A 23,280-nucleotide genomic window follows, 5' to 3' on the forward strand; every position below is an offset into this window, starting at 1 on the left:
TGTGCACAATGTGCAGGTTAGTTACAAATGTATACATGTGCCATGTTGGTGTGCTGCACCCAGTAACTCGTCATTTAACATTAGGTATATCTCCAAATGCTATCCCTCCTCCCTCCCCCCACCCCACAACAGGCCCCGGTGTGTGATGTTCCCCTTCCTGTGTCCATGTGTTCTCATTGTTCAATTCCCACCTATGAGTGAGAACATGCGGTGTTTGGTTTTTTGTCCTCGTGATAGTTTGCTGAGAATGATGCTTTCCAGCTTCATCCATGTCCCTACAAAGGACATGAACTCATCCTTTTTTATGGCTGCATAGTATTTCATGGTGTATATGTGCCACATTTTCTTAATCCAGTCTATCATTGTTGGACATTTGGGTTGGTTCCAAGTCTTTGCTATTGTGAATAGTGCCGCAATAAACATACATGTGCATGTGTCTTTATAGCAGCATGATTTATAATCCTTTGGGTATATACCCAGTAATGGGATTGCTGGGTCAAATGGTATTTCTAGTTCTAGATCCCTGAGGAATCGCCACACTGACTTCCACAATGGTTGAACTAGTTTACAGTCCCACCAACAGCCCAAAAGTGTTCCTATTTCTCCACATCCTCTCCAGCACCTGTTGTCTCCTGACTTTTTAATGATCGCCGTTCTAACTGGTGTGAGATGGTATCTCATTGTGGTTTTGATTTGCATTTTTCTGATGGCCAGTGATGATGAGCATTTTTTCATGTGTCTTTTGGCTGCATAAATGTCTTCTTTTGAGAAGTATCTGTTCATATCCTTCGCCCACTTGTTGATAGGGTTGTTTTTTTCTTGTAAATTTGTTTGAGTTCATTGTAGATTCTGGATATTAGCCCTTTGTCAGATGAGTAGATTGCAAAAATTTTCTCCCATTCTGTAGGTTGCCTGTTCACTCTGATGATAGTTTCTTTTGCTGTGCAGAAGCTCTTTAGTTTAATTAGATCCCATTTGTCAATTTTGGCTTAAAAAATTAAAAAAGGTACTTGAAGTATTTTCAATGTCTTTGTTCATTGCTTGTTCTCTCTCGTTTTCACTGGGATGCATCCTCCATCACAGCCAGAAATTTTATTCATGCTTATATATTGTAGAGCTTATCCTCATCTATTTCTCCTCCATCTTTTCTCTCATTTTCATTCAAGAAGGAAAAATGGATGTTGACACAAACTGAACATCTTCCAAGCAGGGTTTCTTAACCACAGCATTTCTGACGCTTTGGGCCAATAATGCTTTGTTATAGGGGGCTGTCCTGTGCATTGTAGGCTGTTTAGCAGCATTCCTGACTTCTACCCACTAGATGTCAGTAGCACCTCCAAGTGGTAATAACCACAAGTGTCTCCAGGGGGGCAAAATTGTCCCCACTGGAAAACCGCTACTTCAAAGTGTGAGCTCCATTGTAAGCATTATTTTCATACATCTTATAAGTGCCCAGTTAGCTAAGGTAACTGTGTCCATCTACAGGTAAGATGGTCCAGGTACAGCAAGTTTCGATAACTTACGATTGGTAGAATTAATTTGGAATCCAAGCCTGGGTTGCTTCTCATGTAGGAAGGAACACAGGGTCGGCTAAAATATATAGGTCTCTAAGAAAGCCATTTAGCACTGGATGATCTGAATTCAGAGTGAATTCCTTTTTTCTCTGCACCAGGAAGACACCTACCATTTCCATTCTCCTTTTTCTTGTGGAATTAGCTCTTCTTGAACTTCTCTCCACAGCATTTGAAAAGAAGATGGTTCATAACGAACGCTCAGACACAGCTGCTACACCAACAAACCCTGGTCATGTCCCTGGGGTTTCTGGAAGTCAAGCAAGGCTGGGCCAGTACGTCTACCTTTCAGTGCTAGGGCTTGTAGACTTTTTCATGGAATTTGCTGCTAAGAAGCTTGCCTAGCCCAAGGACAGGGAGAGTACAAGCTGATGGCTCACAGAGGTTTATTTATTCTCAACTAGAATAAACACTACTACAATCCAGAAAATGGCCAAATTCACTAAAATTGATATTTTTTTATGTTTTGCAGACAGAGAGAGCTAGTCAGTAAGCATGGCAAATTTCTAGTCCTGGAAAAAGGCTCCTGGCCTAGTATTTTCTAGAAAAGAGCCATCTGGGCTTTCCCTTTGCACTTGACTGCCTTCTTTGTTTCCCTAGACTAATTTCTTACTTCGTTGGACTCACAAAGCTCCAGAACAGTCTGGGTGGAGTCTCTTTTTGAGTAGTGAGGGTTGCATTTTTTGTTTTTGTTTTTATTTTGTTTTTTAAAAAATTTAACCAGGAAGAGAATCCTGAGAGTGGGTTGGGAATTTTAAATCTTGAAAAATCTACAAGAAAAACAGACTGGAAAGAAAAGAAGTAAAAAGAGAAAGGAAAGGAGGAGAAGAAAACTGGTAAGAGGAAAAGGGAGAAAGGAAGAGCAAAAGAAGGCAAAGCAAAGTTTAAAAATTAAATGAAAGAAGGGTGAAAAAGTAATTATAGAGAGAGGATAAAGAACTTATAATTAGGGGTTGGGCGTGATGGCTCACACCTGTAATACCAACACTTTGGGAGGCCGAGGTGGGTGGATCACTTGAGGTCAGGAGTTCGAGACCAGCCCGGCCAGCATGGTGAAACCCCGTCTCAGTATACCAAAAATACAAAAATTAGCCAGGCCTGGTGGCATGTGCCTGTAATCCCAGCTACTCAGGAGGCTGAGGCAGGAGAAATGTTTGAACCCAGGAGGTGGAGGCTGCAGTGAGTTGATATTGAACCACTGCATTCCAGCCTGGGTGAAAGAGTGACACTCTGTCTCAAAAAAAAAAAAAAAAAAAAAAAGAAACAAAAACAAAAGAAAACCAGAAAACATATAAGTAAGACTTTCATTACGTGGTCATATATAGACATTAGCGTCACCTGGGAGCTTGATAGAACTATAGAACTTCTAGTTCCACCCCAGATCCATTGAATTATAATCTGTGTGATTCTTGTGAACATTGATGTTTGAGAAGCACTGTTCTGGAGACAGAATTTCTAACAGAGAACTGTTCTGTGGACCTGTGGACCTGTGAACCAGCAGCATCAGCACCACTTGAGAACTGTGAGAAATGCCAATTCCCAGGCCCCACCCTGGACCCGCTGACTCAGAATCTCTGAGGGTAGGGCTGACAGTGTATGTTTTAACAAGCTCCCCAGATGATGCTGCTGCCTGTTCAAGTTTGAGAACCGCTGGGCTAGTTTTTTTTTTTAAACCACTGGATGGGTTTATGTTGCTCAGGTGTATCATGTCTTCGACACCGTGATGGCTCAGGATTATTATTCAAAATATTTAACAATTTGAGTGGCTTGGATGATGATCAGTCAGAATGAGCAACAGCTATGCATCTACTCAGCTAATTGCTTTGCCAGGCATAAACCCTTTTAGTTTCTGGATTTGGGGGAGATCCAGTGTGTCCTAGGGAACAGATTAGGTCAGCCTCAGTGAGGTAGGACGTGGGAATAGGGTGGGGGGGGCAGAGCCTATTTATCAACCATTATGTATTTCAATAATTTAACAACTGCTATGAGCATTCCTGTGTGTGTCAGCTAAACATTAGCCTTGTAATGTTGATGATAAATTCAACAACCGCTCTTCCTAAATGCCAAGTAGTCAACTGCAACAAATTGATTTATTTGTCAGAAAAAAAAAGTTTATTTGAAATTAGTGGCTGGGCACAGTGGCTCATGACTGTAATCCCAGCATTTTGGGAAGCTGAGGTAGGCAGATTGCTCGAGCCCAGGAGTTTGAGACCAGCCTGGGCAACATGGCGAGATACCATCTCCACAAAAAATTAAAAAAATTAGCTGGGACTACTGCATGCCTGTAGTCCCAGCTACTCAGGAGGCTGAGGAGGGAGGATTGTTTGATCTTGGGAGGTCGAGGCTACAGAGAGCCATGGTCATGCTACTGCACTCCAGCTTGGGTAAAAGAGCAAGATTCTGTCTCAAAACAACAACAAAACCCCGAAAAACAAAATTAGTCAGTTTACTTGGAATCTCAACATGAACATGGGGCTCCTTGATACATTTATAACCTTCAGTGACCCTCCTTATTGTTAGGAAGCAAAACTCTGCTAGGTCCCTGGGCCAGTAGCTGATCTCAAGGACAGGACCAGAAAAAGCTCTATTAATTGAAGGGCACTCAGTGCTGGCCCCAGGTTATTGAGCAGGAGTTGAGGGGTTGGATACCATGGATAGTGCACATCTTGAAAAGTGTGGAGAAAAAGAAATCCACGAGGCCAAGAACTGAACAAAATACCAAGACAGAAAAGACCATTCTCACTCTTCATTCATCCCCTGCAATGTGCATTAAGGGCCATGAATGAATTTACATGTGCAAAACCTATGCCAAGGACAAAATGTTCCACAAAATTGAGTTATGTAGTATTAACGGCAATTATCGCCAGCATGGGGCAAACTCATGCCTCTGGCTTTTGTAGGCTGTATCTTTGTGTGCTGTTGTGAGATATGCAGAAATTGATCATAGTGAGGACAAACATGTACATCATTATCTAAAACTTTGTAGATTCTGATCGTAAAAGTCCTTGGATTTTCCTTCAGGCATGAAAAATGCTGGGACAGAGACTGAGGTCAGGGAAATGCCTGCCTCTCTGCAGTAAACAAGCACTTAGAGTAAGGGAGCTGTTACATGTGGGTCAGTTTAGAAAAATGATTCAGCAGGCCAGGCACGGTGGCTCACGCCTGTAATCCCAGCACTTTGGGAAGCCGAGGCAGGTGGATCATGAGGTCAGGAGTTTGAGACCAGCCTGACCAACATGGTGAAACCCCGTCTCTACTAAAAATAAAAAAATTAGCTGGGTGTAGTGGCGTGCACCTGTAATCCCAGCTACTCAGGAGGCTGAGGCAGGAGAATCTCTTGAACCCGGGAGGCGGAGATTGCAGTGAGCTGAGGTTGCGCCATTGCACTCCAGCCTGGGCAACAAAGTGAGACTCCATCTAAAAAAAAATGATTCAATAAACATATTTCGTGAAAACGGAAATGAACCTCAGTGTGCCCTTGCATAAACCAAGGAATAGAGACAAGAACGTTAAGAAAGAATATCAAGTTTTAATGTTTTAGCAAGAAAAAAAGTCACTGTAATAAATTCAGGAAAACTGCCTCATTGGAGCAGCCTACTATTGGGAAAGGATAGAAAAACGTGTGATGGTATTATTTTATTTTTTATTTTATGTATTTTATTTGATGGGGTCTTGCTTTGTCACTCAGGCTGGTGTGCAGTGGCGCCGTCATTGTGCAGTGGTGCTGATGTGCAGGTTGCCCCATCACTGCAGCCTCAATCTCCCAGGCTCAAGCCATCCTCCCACCTCACCCTCCTGAGTAGCTGGAACTACAGGCATGCACCACCATGCCGGGCTAAGAGATGGCATTATTAAAGAGGGTCCCCAAATGCATATTGCTTGTAGACAGAACTTATAATGTATTATCAGTGTAAGAGTCTATTCCTGCGCAATTCTGTATCTTGTATCTGTCTTGTGCACGATAATGTGGCTTAGTAATATTATACCATCGTATAGAAAAAAACTTAGCAGTAGCAGAAAAAGCTCTGGAGGGAAATAATTTTAAAGTGTTTATTTTTTTGTTTAAGCATTTCACAAAATAGTTTTTAAAATAACATGTATTTGATTAAAAGATGAATATACGTTTTTGAAGAAAATTTGGTTCATCAGGGATAAACCGAATATATGATAATGGTCTCATAGGATTAGAATTCCTGTCATCTGCTAACACTTTACTTGCGTGTTTGTGGCAAGGCTGTTGTAAACATGTCGTGCTGCCAGATCTGCAAAATGTAGCTCATACAATTATGTATAGCACAGAATACTCGATAATGGCGACAAACAACTATGCTACTGATGAATGTATTTACTATACAGTTGACCCTTTAACAAAATGGGTTTGAAATGTATGGGTCTACTTCTATGTGGATTTTTTTCAATAAATATTTTAGAAAAATTTTTGGAAATTTGCGACAATTTGAAAAAACTTGAAGCCCAACTGCGCAGCCTGGGAATATAAAAAAAATTAAGAAAAAGGTATGTCATGAATCCAAGAAACACACATAAATACCAATTTTATAATTTACTACCATAAAATAGACACGTCTTTTTTTTTTTTTTTTTTTTTTTTTTTTAAGACAGATCCTTGCTCTTGTCACCCAGGCTGGAGTGCAGTGGCATGATCTTGGCTCACTGCAACCTCTGCCTCCTGGGTTCAAGCGATTCTCCTGCCTCAGCCTCCTGTGTAGCGGGGATTACAGGTGCCTGTCAACACGCCCGGCTGATTTTTGTATTTTCAGTATAGACAGGGTTTTGCCATGTTCGCTAGGCTGGTCTCGAACTCCTGACCTCAGGTGATCCACCCACCTCGGCCTCCCGAAGTGCTGGGATTACAAGCATGAGCCACCGCACCCGGCTGACACAAATCTATTATAAAAACTTAAAATTTATCAAAACTTACATACACAAACAGATCGCACATGGTACGTTTCATAGTCCAGAGAAATATGAACAAATGCAAAGATGCAGTATTAGATCATTTAGTACAATTTAGTACAAATTAGATCAATTTAGTACAACTGTACTACTGTAATAATTTTGTAACCATCTCCTGTTGCCATTGTGGTGAGCTTAAGTATTAACAAGTATTCTCTTAAAACACTGTGAGATGCTCATCATCTCTGAGTGTTGTCACTCCAGTAAAGTGTGTCTCACCGTAAGATGTGATCTCTGGCAGTTCTTGCATATTTTTCATAGTGTTTAGTGCAATACTATAAAGCTTGAATAACACCATGGGACGCATATGAAGTGCCGTTAGTGATGCTGGAAGTGCTCCCAAGAAGCAGAGAAAAGTCATGACATTACAAGAAAAAGCTGAATCGCTTGATATGTACCATAGATTGAGGTCTGCAGCTGCGGTTGCCTGCCATTTCACGATAAATGAATCCAGCATAAGGACAATTATAAAAAAAGAAAACAAAATTTCTGAAGTCATCACTGCAGCTATGCCAGCAAGCATGAATACTTTACACTTTTTGCAAACTCCCTTTTTATCTCATATTAAAAATGCAGCGTTTATATGTAAGTAGGATTGCTGTAAGAAAGGCATACCTATAGACTCTAATATGATTAGAGAAAAAGTAAAGTAATTGTATGACAACTCTGTCAGCACACTTTTTCTGTGAAGGGCCAGATAGTCACACAAAAGTGGCCATAGATAATAGATAAATAAACAGGCATGGCTGTGTTCCCATAAAACTTTATTTACAAAACAGGCACTGGGCTGAATTTAGCCCACAGGCCTTTGTTTCATGGTCCACGTCCTAGATTAAAATGTAGTTTAATCACGCTGGGCATGGTGGCTCATGCCTATAAACCCAGCACTTTGGGATGCTGAGGCTGTGGAGGATTGCTTGAGGCCAGGAGTTTGAGACCAGCCTGGATAACATAGCTAGACCCTGTCTCTATTTAATATATATATAGTTAATCAAAGAGAACACAAATACCTAGAGACATAAATAAGTATGTGAATCACTACATATCAAGTTGGACACAGTGGTTTATCATAAGGTGACACAATCCTATCTGAGCACCTTCCAGTCATTCCAGATTGGGAAGAATTGCATGTGATTCTATAGATAAGAGGGGGATGGGTTAGATGGCTTCGCTATTGAAGTTCTAGAGCCATTTGAACTTCAATCACTTTTCTTTTATATCTCCTAGATTATTAATCAATCTTTAAGATTTTCATGCTAGCCAGGTGCAGTGGCTCATGCCTGTAATCCCAGAACTTTGGAAAGCTGAGGCGAGCCGATCACTTGAGATCAGGAGTTCAAGATCAGCCTGGCCTACATGGTGAAACCTCATCTCTACTAAAAATACAAAAATTAGCCAGACATGGTGGCAGGCGCCTGTAGTCCCAGCTACTCAGGAGCCTGAGGCATGAGAATTGCTTGAACCCAGGAGATGGAGGTTGCGGTAAGCTGAGATCGCACCACTGAACTGCAGCCTGGGTGAGAGTGAGACTCTGTCTCAAAAAAAAAAAAAAAATGATTTTCATGCTAACTAAATTTCAAGAGGCTACTTGGTCTCATGGAAAAAGGATTGAACTCTGACTATGTTACTGATTACTTGTGTGACCGTGAGAAAGCCACTTAATCCCTTATGAATCAGTATTTTCACTTACAGGCGTTGGTCTGAAACCATGCTTCTCCAGAGCACAGGTGTTTCTTTAATTGAATTGAGGTGTTCTGCTGCTAACATGCCCAGATTAAATATCATTTCTAGGCGTGTCTGTGAAGGTGTTTCTGGATGAGATGAACATTTCACTCTGTGGACTCAGTCAAGTAGATCGCCTTTCCCATTTGATTGGGCACCATCTAATCCATTGAGTGCCTGAATAGAAAAAAAAGCAGAAGGAGGAGTTCACCCCTTTTTTTTCCTGTCTCACTGTGGCAACTGAATATCTCATCTAATCTGTATTCTGGGACAGGGATTTATACCATCAGCTCCTTTGGTTTTTAGCCTTTGGACTTGGACTGAATTATACCACCGGCTTTTCTGAGCCTATAGCTTGAGATGGTAGATTGTGGAACTTAACCTCCATAATCCTATGAGCCAATTCCTCATAATAAACACACACACACACACACACACACACACACACACACACACACACACACACACACACAATCAGTTCTGTTTGTCCAGAGAACTTTGACTAATATACCCACCAATAGTCCGCATGGTTTCTGCCTGACCTGTAGTCAGACATTGCCTGCCCCAGAATCTACAATTTAAGTTGCTATCTAATTTAAAGTGCCAGTAGATCATGTTGTTCCTCAGAGGATACCATGACCTCTTATTGCTTTAAACCTAAACACTGTGATTTATAAAAATAAGGATAGGGCCGGGCACAGTGGCTCATGCCTGTAATCCCAGCACTTTTGGAGGCCGAGGAGGGTGGATTACGAGGTCAGGAGACCATCCTGGCCAACATGGTGAAACCCCATCTCTACTAAAATACAAAAAAATTAGCTGGGTGTGGTGGCGGGTGCCTGTAGTCCCAGCTACTCAGGAGGCTGAGGCAGGGGAATTGCTTGAACCCGGGAGGTGAAGGTTGCAGTGAGCTGAGATCGCACCACTGCACTTCAGCCTGGCAACAGAGCAAGACTCTGTCTCAAAAAAAAAAAAAGTGGGGATTAGATGACTTGGCCTACCTAACTTACTGAGTTGTTGTGAGGTAAAAATAAAAAGAGAAACTGGCTTTGAAAGCAATGAAGTGCTCCACAAATGCATGAGATTGTGATTCTCATTCATTTAATACTAAGCCAACTGTCACTGTGCACCTATACTAGGGCCTAAAGATGAATGACAGAGTTAAGACATTTAGAAGTTAGGTAGAACCCAGGTCTGAAGTTTACTGAAACAGAGTTTCCCTTTGGCCTGTCTAGGAAAAATCCTCTTCTGGATTTTGATAATGCTATTTCATGATAAAAGCAAAACAACTCAAATAGAAGATTTAGAGCACATAGCTCCTTAGCTAAGCTACCTTCTCTCTTTTTTTTGGTGTGTGTGTGGGGGGGTCTCAATCCACACTTTTTCACATGTGATGTGAAACAAGTAAAAGAAGTGTTTGGGTCATAGAAGAGGTAGATTTTAGTGTATGTGAGTCCAATTTTCTAGAAGCTCTTTGATGATCAGGTATGTAGCTCAATCGCTTGTGACTTTCTAGACTTTTACCACTGTTACTTTTTGAATGATGCTCCTTGGGACATTTGCTGTAATCGAGAATTCTACCAGAGTGTACGGCATGTGCTGCAGGATGTGGGAAAGGCACAGGGCCTGTGATTCCTGGCTTGCCTAATATGAATTCTGGAAACACAAACACCTTGTGGGAGCAGTTCTTGGTCCTGTAGTTGGTGCTTAATCACCCAGCCCTGTCACTTGGAAACAGTTTGGTGCTTGATCAAAATCTTTTGCACTCCTTTCCCTCTATCACTTCCCTAGCTGCTTTCCTTTCTTTCTGCCCTCAATTCCCCTCTCCCCAAGAAAAAAAGACAAAACAAGAAGCAAAGCCAATGTAGACATGCGGAGGAGATTATATTACCACTTTTTGGTTTTTTGAGATGGGGTCTCGCTCTGTTGCCCAGGCTGGAGTGCAGTGGCATGATCATGGCTTACTGCAGCCTTGACTGCCTGGGCTTGAGCAATCCCAAGTCAGCCTCCTGAGTCGCTATGACAACAGGTGCATGCCACCATTCCCGGCTAGTTTTTTAAAAAAATTATTTATTACTTGCAGAGATGGGGGGCTCATTATGTTGCCTAGGCTGGTCTTGAACTCCTGGGCTCAAATGATCCTCCCATCTCAGCCTCCAAAAGTGCTGGGATTCCAGGTGTAAGCCACCACACCCTCCCCACACACACTCCTCATAAGATGTTGGGAATGTGAGCCGTGATCCTTGGTGATCATCGTGCTACACTGCTGCAACAATGAGTGGGTGGGAAAAGGGCTTCTTTTTCCTTAGTAGCATGTCATAAGCCAGTATGTTGAGCACAGGACAACTGCAGGGACATGGATTCCTGGCAGGGAAGGACAGTGACAACAAATGTCAAAAGTCACTTCACAACACAGATTGCAGAGATGTCTCATGTTAAGGATCCAGAGCTGGAGAGAGGTGGAGACTTCTGGAGGAAAAGAAATGTTGAAAGGAAAATGGGAAGAGGAGAGAAGGGGGGACTTGGACTGGGCCTCTCTCCTTGATTTTAGGGAACATCTATGAGGGAACATCACGATCGTCTGGGCAGGGAGGCCTCCTACTTTTCTGGAGAGCAAGAGGACTAAGTTGGAATAAGAGGGGCAAATGCCAGATTCTTTTTACTCCCAACTATTACTAAGCCTGTTAAGTTTTGGTTTCTTGCCTTTATTTGAGACAAAATTATTGAAACTTTTTGGGATTGTGTGTGTGTGTGTTCCCATGTGTTTTTGTTCAAAAGGGAATGCAGCCAAGATGTTTGCTAGCATGGGAAAGGAGAGTTCATCCCCAAGTCAATGTCATATAATTTTACCATAAAGAATGGATGATAAAGGGACCTAGTCAGGGAAGATCTCCAAATGGGGAAGGCATCCAAAGGGTCAAAGATGAGGAACCTATTGCCTGGTTGAGTGAGGATGCCAAGGACATAGGTTGGGTCATGCTGTTACCCTTTCCACATACCCTCCATGCTTCAATGCAGACAACTGATTCTTTCTTAATCTTAAATAAAGTCATATGCACATGTACCTTCAAGCTCTACTTCCAAGCATGCTGCTACACTTATAGAGTCACCACCTTTTGTATTATGACAGTGATGTCCAGTGCATTCTCATACCCTTTTATTATAATCCGGAAAGATTACAAAGAGCATGATAGCTGTCCAGGATTGCAATTTATCTGCTGTTTTTGAGACTGTGATTGGGGAGAATCTAAACTGAGGGAAGAAGCACATCCTCCTGAAGGAAGGGCTGGAGGTGATGGCCAAGGTTCTGTTCTTCACTCTCTTAGAAGTGATGGTGTCACTCTGGGTAAGTCCCTCACCCTCTGAGCCTCATTTGTAAAATGTGAAAATCAAGAGAGGCCCTGGTCCTTAAGGATCTTAAGGACTTTACTAATGCCTTTTCCTCCTCTGGTCACAACATTGCAGAGACTTGTGCTGTCAAGGATACTGACTAGTTAAGATTCTTACTGCTGAAGCTGCTTTGGGGAAGGACACATTTCCTGGGAGAGCATGTCAAGCTGAAGGTCATCATACCAGGAAAAACAGGAGAAATTATCATATCAGCAATAGGAAGGCAAAGTAAGGGTGTAGGGTGTAGCCTAGATATTGCTGCCAAAAAAGACAGGCCTCCAGTGCCTGTGGATGTGAATCACCAGGGAGCTTGATGACAAGGCTGATATTGGGTGGAGAAGGAAGTTTAAATGTATGAAAGGGAAAGACTCTATTATAAGAGGCATCTTAGCAGGGAAGAAGCTGGATCTAGCCAACTCCTCCTTTTTATATTCTCCACTCAGCTATTAGGGAAACCAATGGGGTGGGGGTTGGAGAGGACTTGTTAAGATCTAGAGTGGCATTCTACAATGACTCATACAAACCAAAACGATGACACTTAGGAAAGAGCCTTTCTCAAATCAAGGCTCAGGTTTTCAAAGAGCTCATATGTTGTTTTTTTATCTTGATGATCATTTTTTGTTAGAAACAGCAGGGCTTTGAGAACATAGCCCTAGAGAAAAACACCATAAGGCTTTTCACAGACCTGGAAAATACTCTATTTCTGGGTAGAGAAAAAAACCGCTGAGTCTTTGGCCAGTAATTTGCCTAAGCCTGTAGGTTTCCATATGCCAAATATTATATTGATACAATGCCAGGTTCTGAAGATTTAATCTTTTTTTCTTTCTTTTTTTTTTAAATTTTTTATTTTGAGACAGCGTCTCACTCTGTTGCCCAGTCTGAAGTGCAATGGCACGATCTCAGCTCACTGCAACCTCTGCTTCCTGGGTTCAAGTGATTCTCCTGCCTCAGCCCCCTGAGTAGCTGGGATTACAGGCACCCGCCACCATGCCCAGCTAATTTTTTGTATTTTTAGTAGACAGGGTTTCACTATGTTGGCCAGACTTGTCTTGAACTCCTGACCTCAGGTGATCCACCCACCTTGGCCTTCCAAAGTGCTGGGCCACCAGGCATGAGCCACTGCGCCCAGCAAAGATTTAATCTTATCAGTTCTTGCTGAACCTAAGATATCATGTTTGTAAGATAAATCATTAAATTGCCAATCATACTACGCCATGCTATTGTAAGATGCATTCCAATTTCAGAGATGTTAAGATATGCAAAATGCATATTATATTTATATTGGATGAATAAAACAGTAAGTTAAATAGCTTAACTCTGTTGAATTTTGTGATTTATGTTTAAGTCTAACTGCTACCTAGACACTGCTCTGAGAATATGGTGAGCTGACTCTGTCAAGAGTTTATTAATCCCCAAGGCTTTATTTTAATACCTGAGTAAGAATCCTCAACACCAAGCCTGTAAAATTCCACTGGGAGAGTCACTGGTATTGTGTTGACAGCAGGGACACCAGGTGGGTAAGTTATAGGAAAATAGATTGTCTTGGCAAATTGATAGCACAGCACAGCAGGGCAAGGACAAGAGTATTCTTCAAGTTCAGTTCCAAGGGCTTGACAGAGTACATCTCTCAATATTGGCCTTTCTTTTAAGGACACTAAAGCATAAAATTCATAAGTTTGTGTGCGTACTTATTGTTTGTGAGACCCCTTAATCCTTACAGCAACATCAGTAAGAGTGGGCCCTATTATTGCTTCCATTACACAAATGAGGAAAGAGGCATCCAAATCACGTGGCTAGTAAAGGGAAGGACCAGGGTTTGGATATGGGCAGTCAAATTCCAGAGCTTGTGCTTTTAATCACTGCACCCATCCATGAGAAATAAACCTTGCTATCAAAGCAATTCAGACACGTAAACTAGCCATGATATAAAGAAAAAAGTGCTTTGATAGAGATGTGTGTAAAGTGATGCAGAGCCTGAAGGATAAAGCAACTAAGTTCAGGGATCTTACATATTAATAAAAGCCCTGAGGCCGGGCACCTGTAATCCCAGCACTTTGGTAGGCCAAGGCGGGTGGATCACTTGAGGTCAGGAGTTTGAGACCAGCCTGGTCAACATGGCGAAAACCCATCTCTACTAAAAATACAAAAATTGGCCAGACGTGATGGCACATGCCTGTAATCCCAGCTACTCAGGAGGCTGAGGCAGGAGAATCATTTGAACCTGGAAGGCAGAGGTTGCAGTGAGCTGAGATCACGCCATTGCGCTTCAGACTAGGCAACAGAGTGAGACTCTGTCTCAAAAAAAAAAAAAAAAGAAGAGCAAGCCAGATACATTGTCTTTTTAAGAAAGGATTCATCTTAATATTCTATAATTGCAGACCATGGGTTTCCTAGATACCATGCATTTGCATATTTGTGGACTGAATAGTCAATGTATTTACTCCAAGATTCATGAATATCGACACAAGGCTCATTACCTCATAGTCAGTAAATGTGGTTTAAACAAATTTTTTGGTTGTAGAAAATTTCCAGCATACACAAAAGTAGAGAGGAGCATATGCTGAACTCCCATCTACTCCTTACTCAGCTATTATCAATATTTTGCTGCGCTTGCTTTGGCTATATTCACCTTCCCCATCTCCTTATACACTTTTTTCTTTTGGGGGGATTTGAAAGCAAATCCAAGCATTTACATAATCTCACTAGTAAATACTTCAGTATAGTTATCTAATATACAAGATCTTAAAAATAATCAAAATTATTCCAACCAAAGGCATTAACAATAATTCCAAATATTCATCTAATACCCAGTCTTTGTTCAGTTTTTCCTGATTAATAAATGTGATTTAATGGAAAAACTTTTACTTCTTTTGTGTTGACTAGAAGTAGATAGTACTTCCTCTCAGACCTATTTAGGCCATATTTGCAAAAACACAAAACCTTTCTTATGAGCAATTTAGGCTGTTAGGAAATATAAATAAAATGAATAGTTTTTATAAACAGCACATGCAGTATAACTTTATTTTTAAGATTAAAGACCCAAAGTAGATTTTAAAACAAACACCTGGCAATGATAGAGCTGACCCAGCATGTGCCCAGGTGAGTCCTGTTGAGGAAGTGCACGGTAAAAATTCACAAATTGAGGGGTAAGATGGTCATTTTGCTCAGGAGGGCTGAGCAAGTAACTCTTGAATTCTGATTCATGCTTTTTCTTTGATCAACGTCATTTGTCATTACTGAATGCCTTCCAAAAACTCATTTGGATGTCGTATGTGCTAAACTTTTCTCAGGCGCCCTCTGAACCAACCCAGTCTTCAAGGTAACTGCTCATTTTATCTTTCAGTGTTTTTCTGTCTTTGACTTTAGAAAGGCAAATGATGAAAACAGAATTGAAAACTTAGGTTGTTTTCCTCTGTGAAAAAATGTATATATATGTGTATATGTACATGTACAGAAACATGTAAAATATTGTATTGTTTTTTATGACACTGTATTCCTGGGACCTTCCCTAAATATATATGTATATATTTTTTTAGACAGAGTTTTGCTCTTGTTGCCCAGGCTGGAGTTTAATGGAGCGGTCTCGGCTCACTGCAACCTCCGCTTGCAGGGTTCAAACCATTCTCCTGCCTTAGCCTCCCAAGTAGCTGGGATTACAGGTGCCTGCCACCATGCTGGGATAATTTTGTATTTTTAGTAGAGATGGGGTTTCACCATGTTGGACAGGCTGTTCTGAAACTCCTGACCTCAGGTGATCTGCCTGCCTTGGCCTCCCAAAGTGCTGGGATTATAGGCGTGAGCCACCGCACCTAGCCTCCTAAATGCTTTTTGAAATTGTTTAAAAGCTTTTCTTCTCTCATCAGTCTCTATTATTTCATTCTTTCCTCAGCATTTATTGAGCGTTTACTACATGTCAAGTATTACCAAGTATACATTGGTGAAAAAATATAATGCTTGTCTTCAAGGAGGAAGAGAGACAGGCAAATGATAAATGTCTGCCATGGGCTAACCCTGGAACCATTGTGGAAGGGCACCTATTGGTCAGGGGGAGATCAGAAAAAAGGTTTACTATACAGGAGGAGGGAAAGGCAGCAGGGAGGAAAGGAAACAAGTTGGGAGTTCAGGTGTGCCATATATCAGAAGGTGAAATGAGGCGAGAAACCAGATGGAACTATTCAGAATGATTTGCAATTTTTTTAGTACAAGAGGATGGGAACAAGAAATAACAATAGGTTTCTGTAGAGTTCAATGTCTCATTCTTATTCCTCCATTGGGCACTTTTATACCCTGGTTGTCTTATAGGAACTGTAAATTAGAACTGTATTCAACTGTCTCAAAGTATAAAGCATAAAGTAAATATAGTCTGAAGAACAACTACCTGTGGTCTAGTTAGCTTCACCTTGGAGGTGGGTATGGTTTGTGATGCTAGACTACTTCAGCTGGACCAGACCACAAAGATTGGTGCTGCTTCTTAAACTAGGGAGAAGGAAGACTCTGACTTGTATAAATTGGCTTTTCCTTTAGTTTACTACCAAACTAGCAAAATATTAGAATGGTGATTTCCATGATATCAAGAATACAAATGAGTGGGTGTGTCTTCCTGTTGCCTCCCTAGTTCTACCACGTGGGGTTATCAAAGTTTGATGATCTCAGCAGCCTGTGTAGAGTGAAGAATCAACCACAGCTGTTGTACCTTTCACTCCTCCTGGAGACACCTTAGCACCCAATAATCTATTCTATTAACATGAGCATCATCTTGCACCATAATGAGAGGTTTCTGGGTTTTATTTCTGTATTTTTGGACCTACTCAAGGTTCAAGTATAGCAAGCTGGGTAGTGGCTTAACATCAAAGTCAAACTATTCTGATAAGGACAAAATGTTTGTGGCAAGTGTGTGTGTGTGTTTGGGTTTAAGAGTGCTTCTGGATATATCTGATCTGTCACACTTCTTTTGGATCTCAATGTCACACACACACAGTATATTCATTCTATAGTTGATGTCCACATTGGCTTCTGATATGGTTTGGATTTCTGTCTCCACCCAAATCTCATGTCAAATTGTAATCCCCAGTGTTGGAGAAGGGGCCTGGTGGGAGGTAACTAGATTATGGAGGCAAGCTTCCCACTTGCTTTTCTTGTGCTAGTGAGTGAGTTCTCATGAGATTTGGTTGTTTAAGTGTGTAGCCCCTGCCCCTTCTCTCTCTTCCTCCTTCTCCAGTTATGTAAGATGGGCCTGCTTCCCCTTTGCCTTCTGCCATGATTGTAAATTTCCCCAGGCCTCCTCAGCCATACTTCCTGTACAGCCTACAGAACCGAAAGCCAATTAAACCTCTTTTCTTTATAAATTACCCAGTCTCAGGTAGTTGTTTTATTTTCTTTTATTTTTTGGAGATGGAGTCTCACTCTGTTGTCCAGGCTGGAGTGCAGTGACGCAATCTCAGCTCACTGCAACCTCCGTCTCCCAGGTTCAAGCGATTCTCCTGCCTCAGCATCCCGAGTAGCTGAGATTACAGGCACATGCCACCATGCCTGGCTAATTTTGTATTTTTAGTAAAGATGGGGTTTCATCATCTTGGTTAGGCTGGTCTCGAACTCCTGACCTCGTGATCCTCCTGTGTTGGGCTGCCAAAGTGCTAGGATTACAGGCATGAGCCACCTTTCCCAGCCTCAGGTAGTTCTTTGTAGCAATGTGAGAACAGACTAATACTTCTTGGTTCTACTCATGGGCATTGTTGGCTCAAAGGAACCCTGGAATGGGAAAGAGCAGAGTGCATTCTCCCAGCACCCTATAAAAGCTGGACTTGGAGTGGGGATGGAGGTTTAGGGCAAAGTCAACAGCATCTGAGAACTCAAGAACAAATGGTAGAAAAAATAGGGTGGGGGATGGTGAGTATGATGGTAGGGTTAGGTGAGAACTGGGAGTAAAGGGAAGTGGCAGTGGTAAAGGAGATAACTTGTGCAAAGGCCTCAAGAAGAGAACGTGGTGTATTCAGAGAACTGAAAGCTGTTCATCATGAGGTCTTCTCAATGTTGCAATTATGACTTATGGAACATTTTGCGCTGTCTTTTAAACATAGCCTAAAGTTATTTGGTGGAATTCTCACATAAACCAACACTACTTTGTGATTAGGAACACTTTTTTTTTTTTTTTTTTGCAAACACCAGAAACATAGACTGTAATAATAAACCACCATAGTTATAAAGCTTACGTGGTGTTGAAAATGCCAGGGACATGGCCTAGCTAAGGTTCATTCTCTGGAAAGGGTGTTGTGACTGACTGCTCTGAGCCCCAGCCTTGGGTCTCAGGTGTTAGGCTGTAATTTCCAGGTCATTGCTTTTCTGTGCCTCAGGTTTCTTAAATGGAAAGAAGAGGAAGCTTTGCAGAATTCGCTGAGACAGATTGAAGAAAGGTTGAGCAGAGAAAGGGACACTGACATTTATTCAGCCATTGTTACATATTAGGCATCCACATAGTTTTTAGTTCCCACAATTTATGAGATAGTGTAAGAGAAAATATATTTTAAATTACAAAGCAGAATGCAAACTATAAGGTATGTAATAAAGATTTTGGAAGTATTTCCCCATTTGAACGTATGATCTATAGATTCTCAGTCATCGCTCTTGTGAAGAATGTGGTATGATTGAGAAATGCACGTGGGTAGCTTTTGCTACTTTTTTGTGGTCTTTACCTTAATCCATTCTTGCAGGTTTTTCTGGTTTGTCAGTTTTCTCTTTATTGCCCTTGCTGATAGGATACACTTTAACTTACAGAAACATAAACTAGCTTGACCACTGCTGGGAAGGTAAAAAGATCCAGGGGGACATAATGAAAGGTGGAATGTGCATGATTCAGAAGGCTGAGGATTCGGCATTGTAATTAGACAGGTCAGGACTTAGGAGGGTGGAGAGAACTCACTTGAAAATGATGTCTGCAAGGAGTGGGTGTGATCAGCAGTTCCTCCAGAGAGACAGCAGTTTGTACTGTAACTCTTAGAAACACCCAGACAGCCTATATCTTTGTGTGTCTTTTTTTTTTTTTTGAGACGGAGTCTCGCTCTGTCGCCCAGGCTGGAGTGCAGTGGCACGATCTCGGCTCACTGCAAGCTCCGCCTCCCAGGTTCACACCATTCTCCTGCCTCAGCCTCCTGAGTAGCTGGGATTACAGGCGCCCGCCACCGCACCCGGCTAATTTTTTGTATTTTTCTTTAGTCGAGACGGGGTTTCTCTGTGGTCTCGATCTCCTGATCTCGTGATCTGCCCACCTCGGCCTCCCAAAGTGCTGGGATTACAGGCGTGAGCCACTGCTCCCGGCCTTGTGTATCTTTTTAAAGTCGGTTGTCTTGCTTCACAAAACTTAAGAGCCCAGAAATGTTGCACCCAGGAGCATGTATTTTAAGTGGCTTTGCCTGCTGATTCTTACAGCTGGGAACATGTAGCTGCAGTGCAATGTGTCTGCTCTTCTTTTTTTATTTGTATAAATTTATAGAGTACAACTATAATTTTGTAATATGGATAGATTATATGTAGTGGTGGAGCTCAGGGCTTTTAGGGTATGCATTACCTGAATAACATACACTATACCCATTAAGTGATTTATCCTCATCCAGCCCCCTCCCACTGCCCTCCCGAATCTCCCTTGTCTGTCAGTCCACATTCTATGTCCATGGGTGCACATTATTTAGCTCCCACTTGTAAGTGAGAAAATGTGGTATTTGACTTCCTGTGTCTCAACTGTTTCAACTAAGATAATGCCCCCTAGTTTCATCCATGTTGCTGCAAAAGACATAATTTCATTCTTTTATATGGCTGAATAGTGTTCCATTTTACATTTTCTTTATCCAATCGTTTGCTGATGAACACTTAGGTTGATTCCATATCTTTGCTAATGTGAATAGTGCTACAATAAATATATGAGTGCAGTTGTCTTTTTATTTTTATTTTTATTTTTTATTTTTTTATTATACTTTAAGTTTTAGGGTACATGTGCACAACGTGCAGGGTAGTTACATATGTATACATGTGCCATGTTGGTGTGCAGCACCCATTAACTAGTGATTTAACATTAGTTGTATCTCCTAATGCTATTCCTCCCCCCTCCCCCCACCCCACAACAGGCCCCAGTGTGTGATGTTCCCCTTCTTGTGTCCATGTGTTCTCATTGTTCAATTCCCACCTATGAGTGAGAACATGCGGTGTTTGGTTTTTTGTCCTTGTGATAGTTTGCTGAGAATGATGGTTTCCAGCTTCATCCATGTCCCTACAAAGGACATGAACTCATCATTTTTTATGGCTGCATAGTATTCCATGGTGTATATGTGCCACATTTGCTTAATCCAGTCTATCATTGTTGAACATTTGGCTTGGTTCCAAGTCTTTGCTATTGTGAATAGTGCCACAATAAACATACATGTGCATGTGTCTTTATAGCAGCATGATTTATAATCCTTTGGGTATATACCCAGTAATGGGATTGCTGGGTCAAATGGTATTTCTAGTTCTAGATCCCTGAGGAATCGCCACACTGACTTCCACAATGGTTGAACTAGTTTACAGTCCCATCAACAGTGTAATAGTGTTCCTATTTCTCCACATCCTTTCCAGCACCTGTTGTTTCCTGACTTTTTAATGATCGCCATTCTAACTGGTGTGAGATGGTATCTCATTGTGGTTTTGATTTGCATTTTTCTGATGGCCAGTGATGATGAGCATTTTTTCATGTGTCTTTTGGCTGCATAAATGTCTTCTTTTGAGAAGTATCTGTTCATATCCTTCTCCCACTTGTTGATGGGGTTGTTTGTTTTTTTCTTGTAAATTTGTTTGAGTTCATTGTAGATTCTGGATATTAGCCCTTTGTCAGATGAGTACATTGCAAACATTTTCTCCCATTCTGTAGGTTGCCTGTTCACTCTGATGATAGTTTCTTTTGCTGTGCAGAAGCTCTTTAGTTTAATTAGATCCCATTTGTCAATTTTGTCTTTTGTTGCCATTGCTTTTGGTGTTTTAGACATGAAGTCCTTGCCTATGCCTATGTCCTGAATGGTATTGCCTAGGTTTTCTTCTAGGGTTTTTATGGTTTTAGTTCTAACGTTTAAGTCTTTAATCCATCTCGAATTAATTTTTGTATAAGGTGTAAGGAAGGGATCCAGTTTCAGCTTTCTACATATGGCTAGCCAGTTTTCCCAGCATCATTTATTAAATAGGGAATCGTTTCCCCATTTCTTGTTTTTGTCAGGTTTGTCAAAGATCAGATGGTTGTAGATATGTGGCTTGATTTCTGAGGGCTCTGTTCTGTTCCATTGGTCTATATCTCTGTTTTGGTACCAGTACCATGCTGTTTTGGTTACTGTAGCCTTGTAGTATAGTTTGAAGTCAGGTAGCGTGATGCCTCCAGCTTTGTTCTTTTGGCTTAGGATTGACATGGCAATGCGGGCTCTTTTTGGTTCCATATGAACTTTATTTTTTTCCAATTCTGTGAAGAAAGTCATTGGTGGCTTGATGGGGATGGCATTGAATCTCTAAATTACCTTGGGCAGTATGGCCATTTTCATGATATTGATTCTTCCTACCCATGAGCATGGAATGTTCTTCCATTTGTTTGTGTCCTCTTTATTACATTGAGCAGTGGTTTGTAGTTCTCCTTGAAGAGGTCCTTCACATCCCTTGTAAGTTGGATTCCTAGGTATTTTATTCTCTTTGAAGCAGTTGTGAATGGGAGTTCACTCAGGTGTCTTTTTAAAAATAATGATTTGTTTCCCTTTGGGTAGATACCTAGTAGAGGGATTGCTGGATTGAATGGTAGTTCTATTTTTAATTCTTTGAGAAATCTCCATACTGTTTTCTGTGGAGGTTGTATTTATTTACATTCTCACTATTGGTATATAAGCGTCCCCTTTTCTGTGAATCCTTGCCATCTGTTATTTCTTGTCTTTTTAATAATAACCATCCTGACTGGCTGCTTCTCATTATTTTCAAATTACTCAATTTCTTTCTAGTTCCATCCAAACCTACACTTTCGGCCCAGGCCGCCTTGAATGGTGGCTTATAAGATAATTAGGGAAAAAAATGAACGGTCCTGGCTTAAGGTCAGAGTTAGGAGAAAATCATGAGTAATTAAATATGATCTTTTCAAAGAAATGAGTGTTGCTGCTGCTATGTTGGTTGTTGAGGAAGCATAAAAAAGTGATTCTGATGTAACTTGGCTGGAAAACTTGAGATATTATAAATGTGTCCACCTCTTTGGATGTCCCTTACCTGGAGAACCCATGAAGTACAAGGATATGCTGTAAAAATGTACTGACAATTTTAATAATTGATTTTTAAAATTCCTTGACAAGCAAATATTTTCCTCCTGTGTATGCAAATGGCTCAAAATTTATCAATATTTTCTCTTCGTAATAGCTTCTGTTTCTATATTAAACTAATCATATTGATCTGAACTCTTCAGTACAGATTCCTAAAGTTGTGTTTAAACAAAACTAAATAGAGACAAGATCTTTACATTTATAGAATAGATGCCAATGTGCTTGTCAGGTTGATTAGGGTAAATAGAAAAATTATATATGCATACACATTAATGTGGGACTTTTACTTCAATTAATTTTTATGAAGATTATTACTTTTATGAATATGAAAACATTTACAAATATAAAAAATGGAAAAGGAAAAGGTGGTACACACACAAATAGACACATATAGTAGAATACTATTAAGCCATAAAAGGAAGGAAATCCTGCCATTTGCAATAACATGAATGAATCTGAAGGACATTATGCTACACGAAATAAACCAGACACAGAGAAACACATACTGTATGATTTCACTTATATGTGGAATCTAAAGTAGTCAAACTCACAGAAGTGGAGAATGTAATGGTGGTTGCCAGGGGCTAGAAAGGGGAGGAGTGGGGGAAATGGGTAGATGTTGGTCAAAGGGTACCAACCTTCAGTTATAAGATGAGCAAGTTCTGGGAATCCAATCTACAGCATGATGACTATAGTTAACAACACTGTATTGTATACTTAAAATTTGCTAAGAGAATAGATCTTAAGTGTCCTCACCACCACCTAACTCCTCCAACAATGGTAACTATGTATGGTGATGAATTATGTTCATGAATTTGATTATGCCAATCATTTCACAATGTATACATGTATCAAATTATCACATTGTACATTCTTGAATATATACAATTTTTGTCAATTATACCTCAAAGCTGGAAAAAATAAAATAGGCAGAAAATTATGCCAACTTACACTCTCACTGACAATGCATAAAATTTTCTATTTCATCCCACATTTGCTAGCATTAGTTATTAACATTAAAAATAAGTCTCTGCTAATCCGAAAAGCAAAAGAGTTTCCACTGTTACTTGAATTTGTGTGCTGTGTTTGTGAGGTGGAATAGTTTCTCACATACATACGAAAATGAGTTTATTGCATTTCTCTGGTGGGTTGTCTGTGTTCTTGAGCTTTATTAAGTTTTTTTTTCCCATTTATATGATATAGGTAGTATAACATGATTCCTTGGTCTGTCGTAAGAAATTTGACAACATTTTGATTACGATTTTTTGAATGACATCCAGAACTCTCAATTTGCTTATGCTGTCAAATCTGCTCACCATTCC

General features: G+C 40.8%; 2 annotated features.

Moving 5' to 3' along the window:
- Positions 17,030–17,199: an enhancer, noted in NCBI's record as "experimental_104913 CRE fragment used in MPRA reporter constructs". NCBI's record gives its function as "activates a minimal promoter by MPRAs in K562 erythroleukemia cells, with activity observed for both the introgressed and non-introgressed 9:113118607 variant alleles {active_cell/tissue: K562}" and the evidence as "EXISTENCE:reporter gene assay evidence [ECO:0000049][PMID:34662402]".
- Positions 17,981–18,150: an enhancer, noted in NCBI's record as "experimental_104925 CRE fragment used in MPRA reporter constructs". NCBI's record gives its function as "activates a minimal promoter by MPRAs in K562 erythroleukemia cells, with activity observed for both the introgressed and non-introgressed 9:113119558 variant alleles {active_cell/tissue: K562}" and the evidence as "EXISTENCE:reporter gene assay evidence [ECO:0000049][PMID:34662402]".

Source organism: Homo sapiens, chromosome 9, assembly GCF_000001405.40.
Source record: "Homo sapiens chromosome 9, GRCh38.p14 Primary Assembly".
Taxonomy (NCBI): Eukaryota; Metazoa; Chordata; class Mammalia; order Primates; family Hominidae; genus Homo; species Homo sapiens.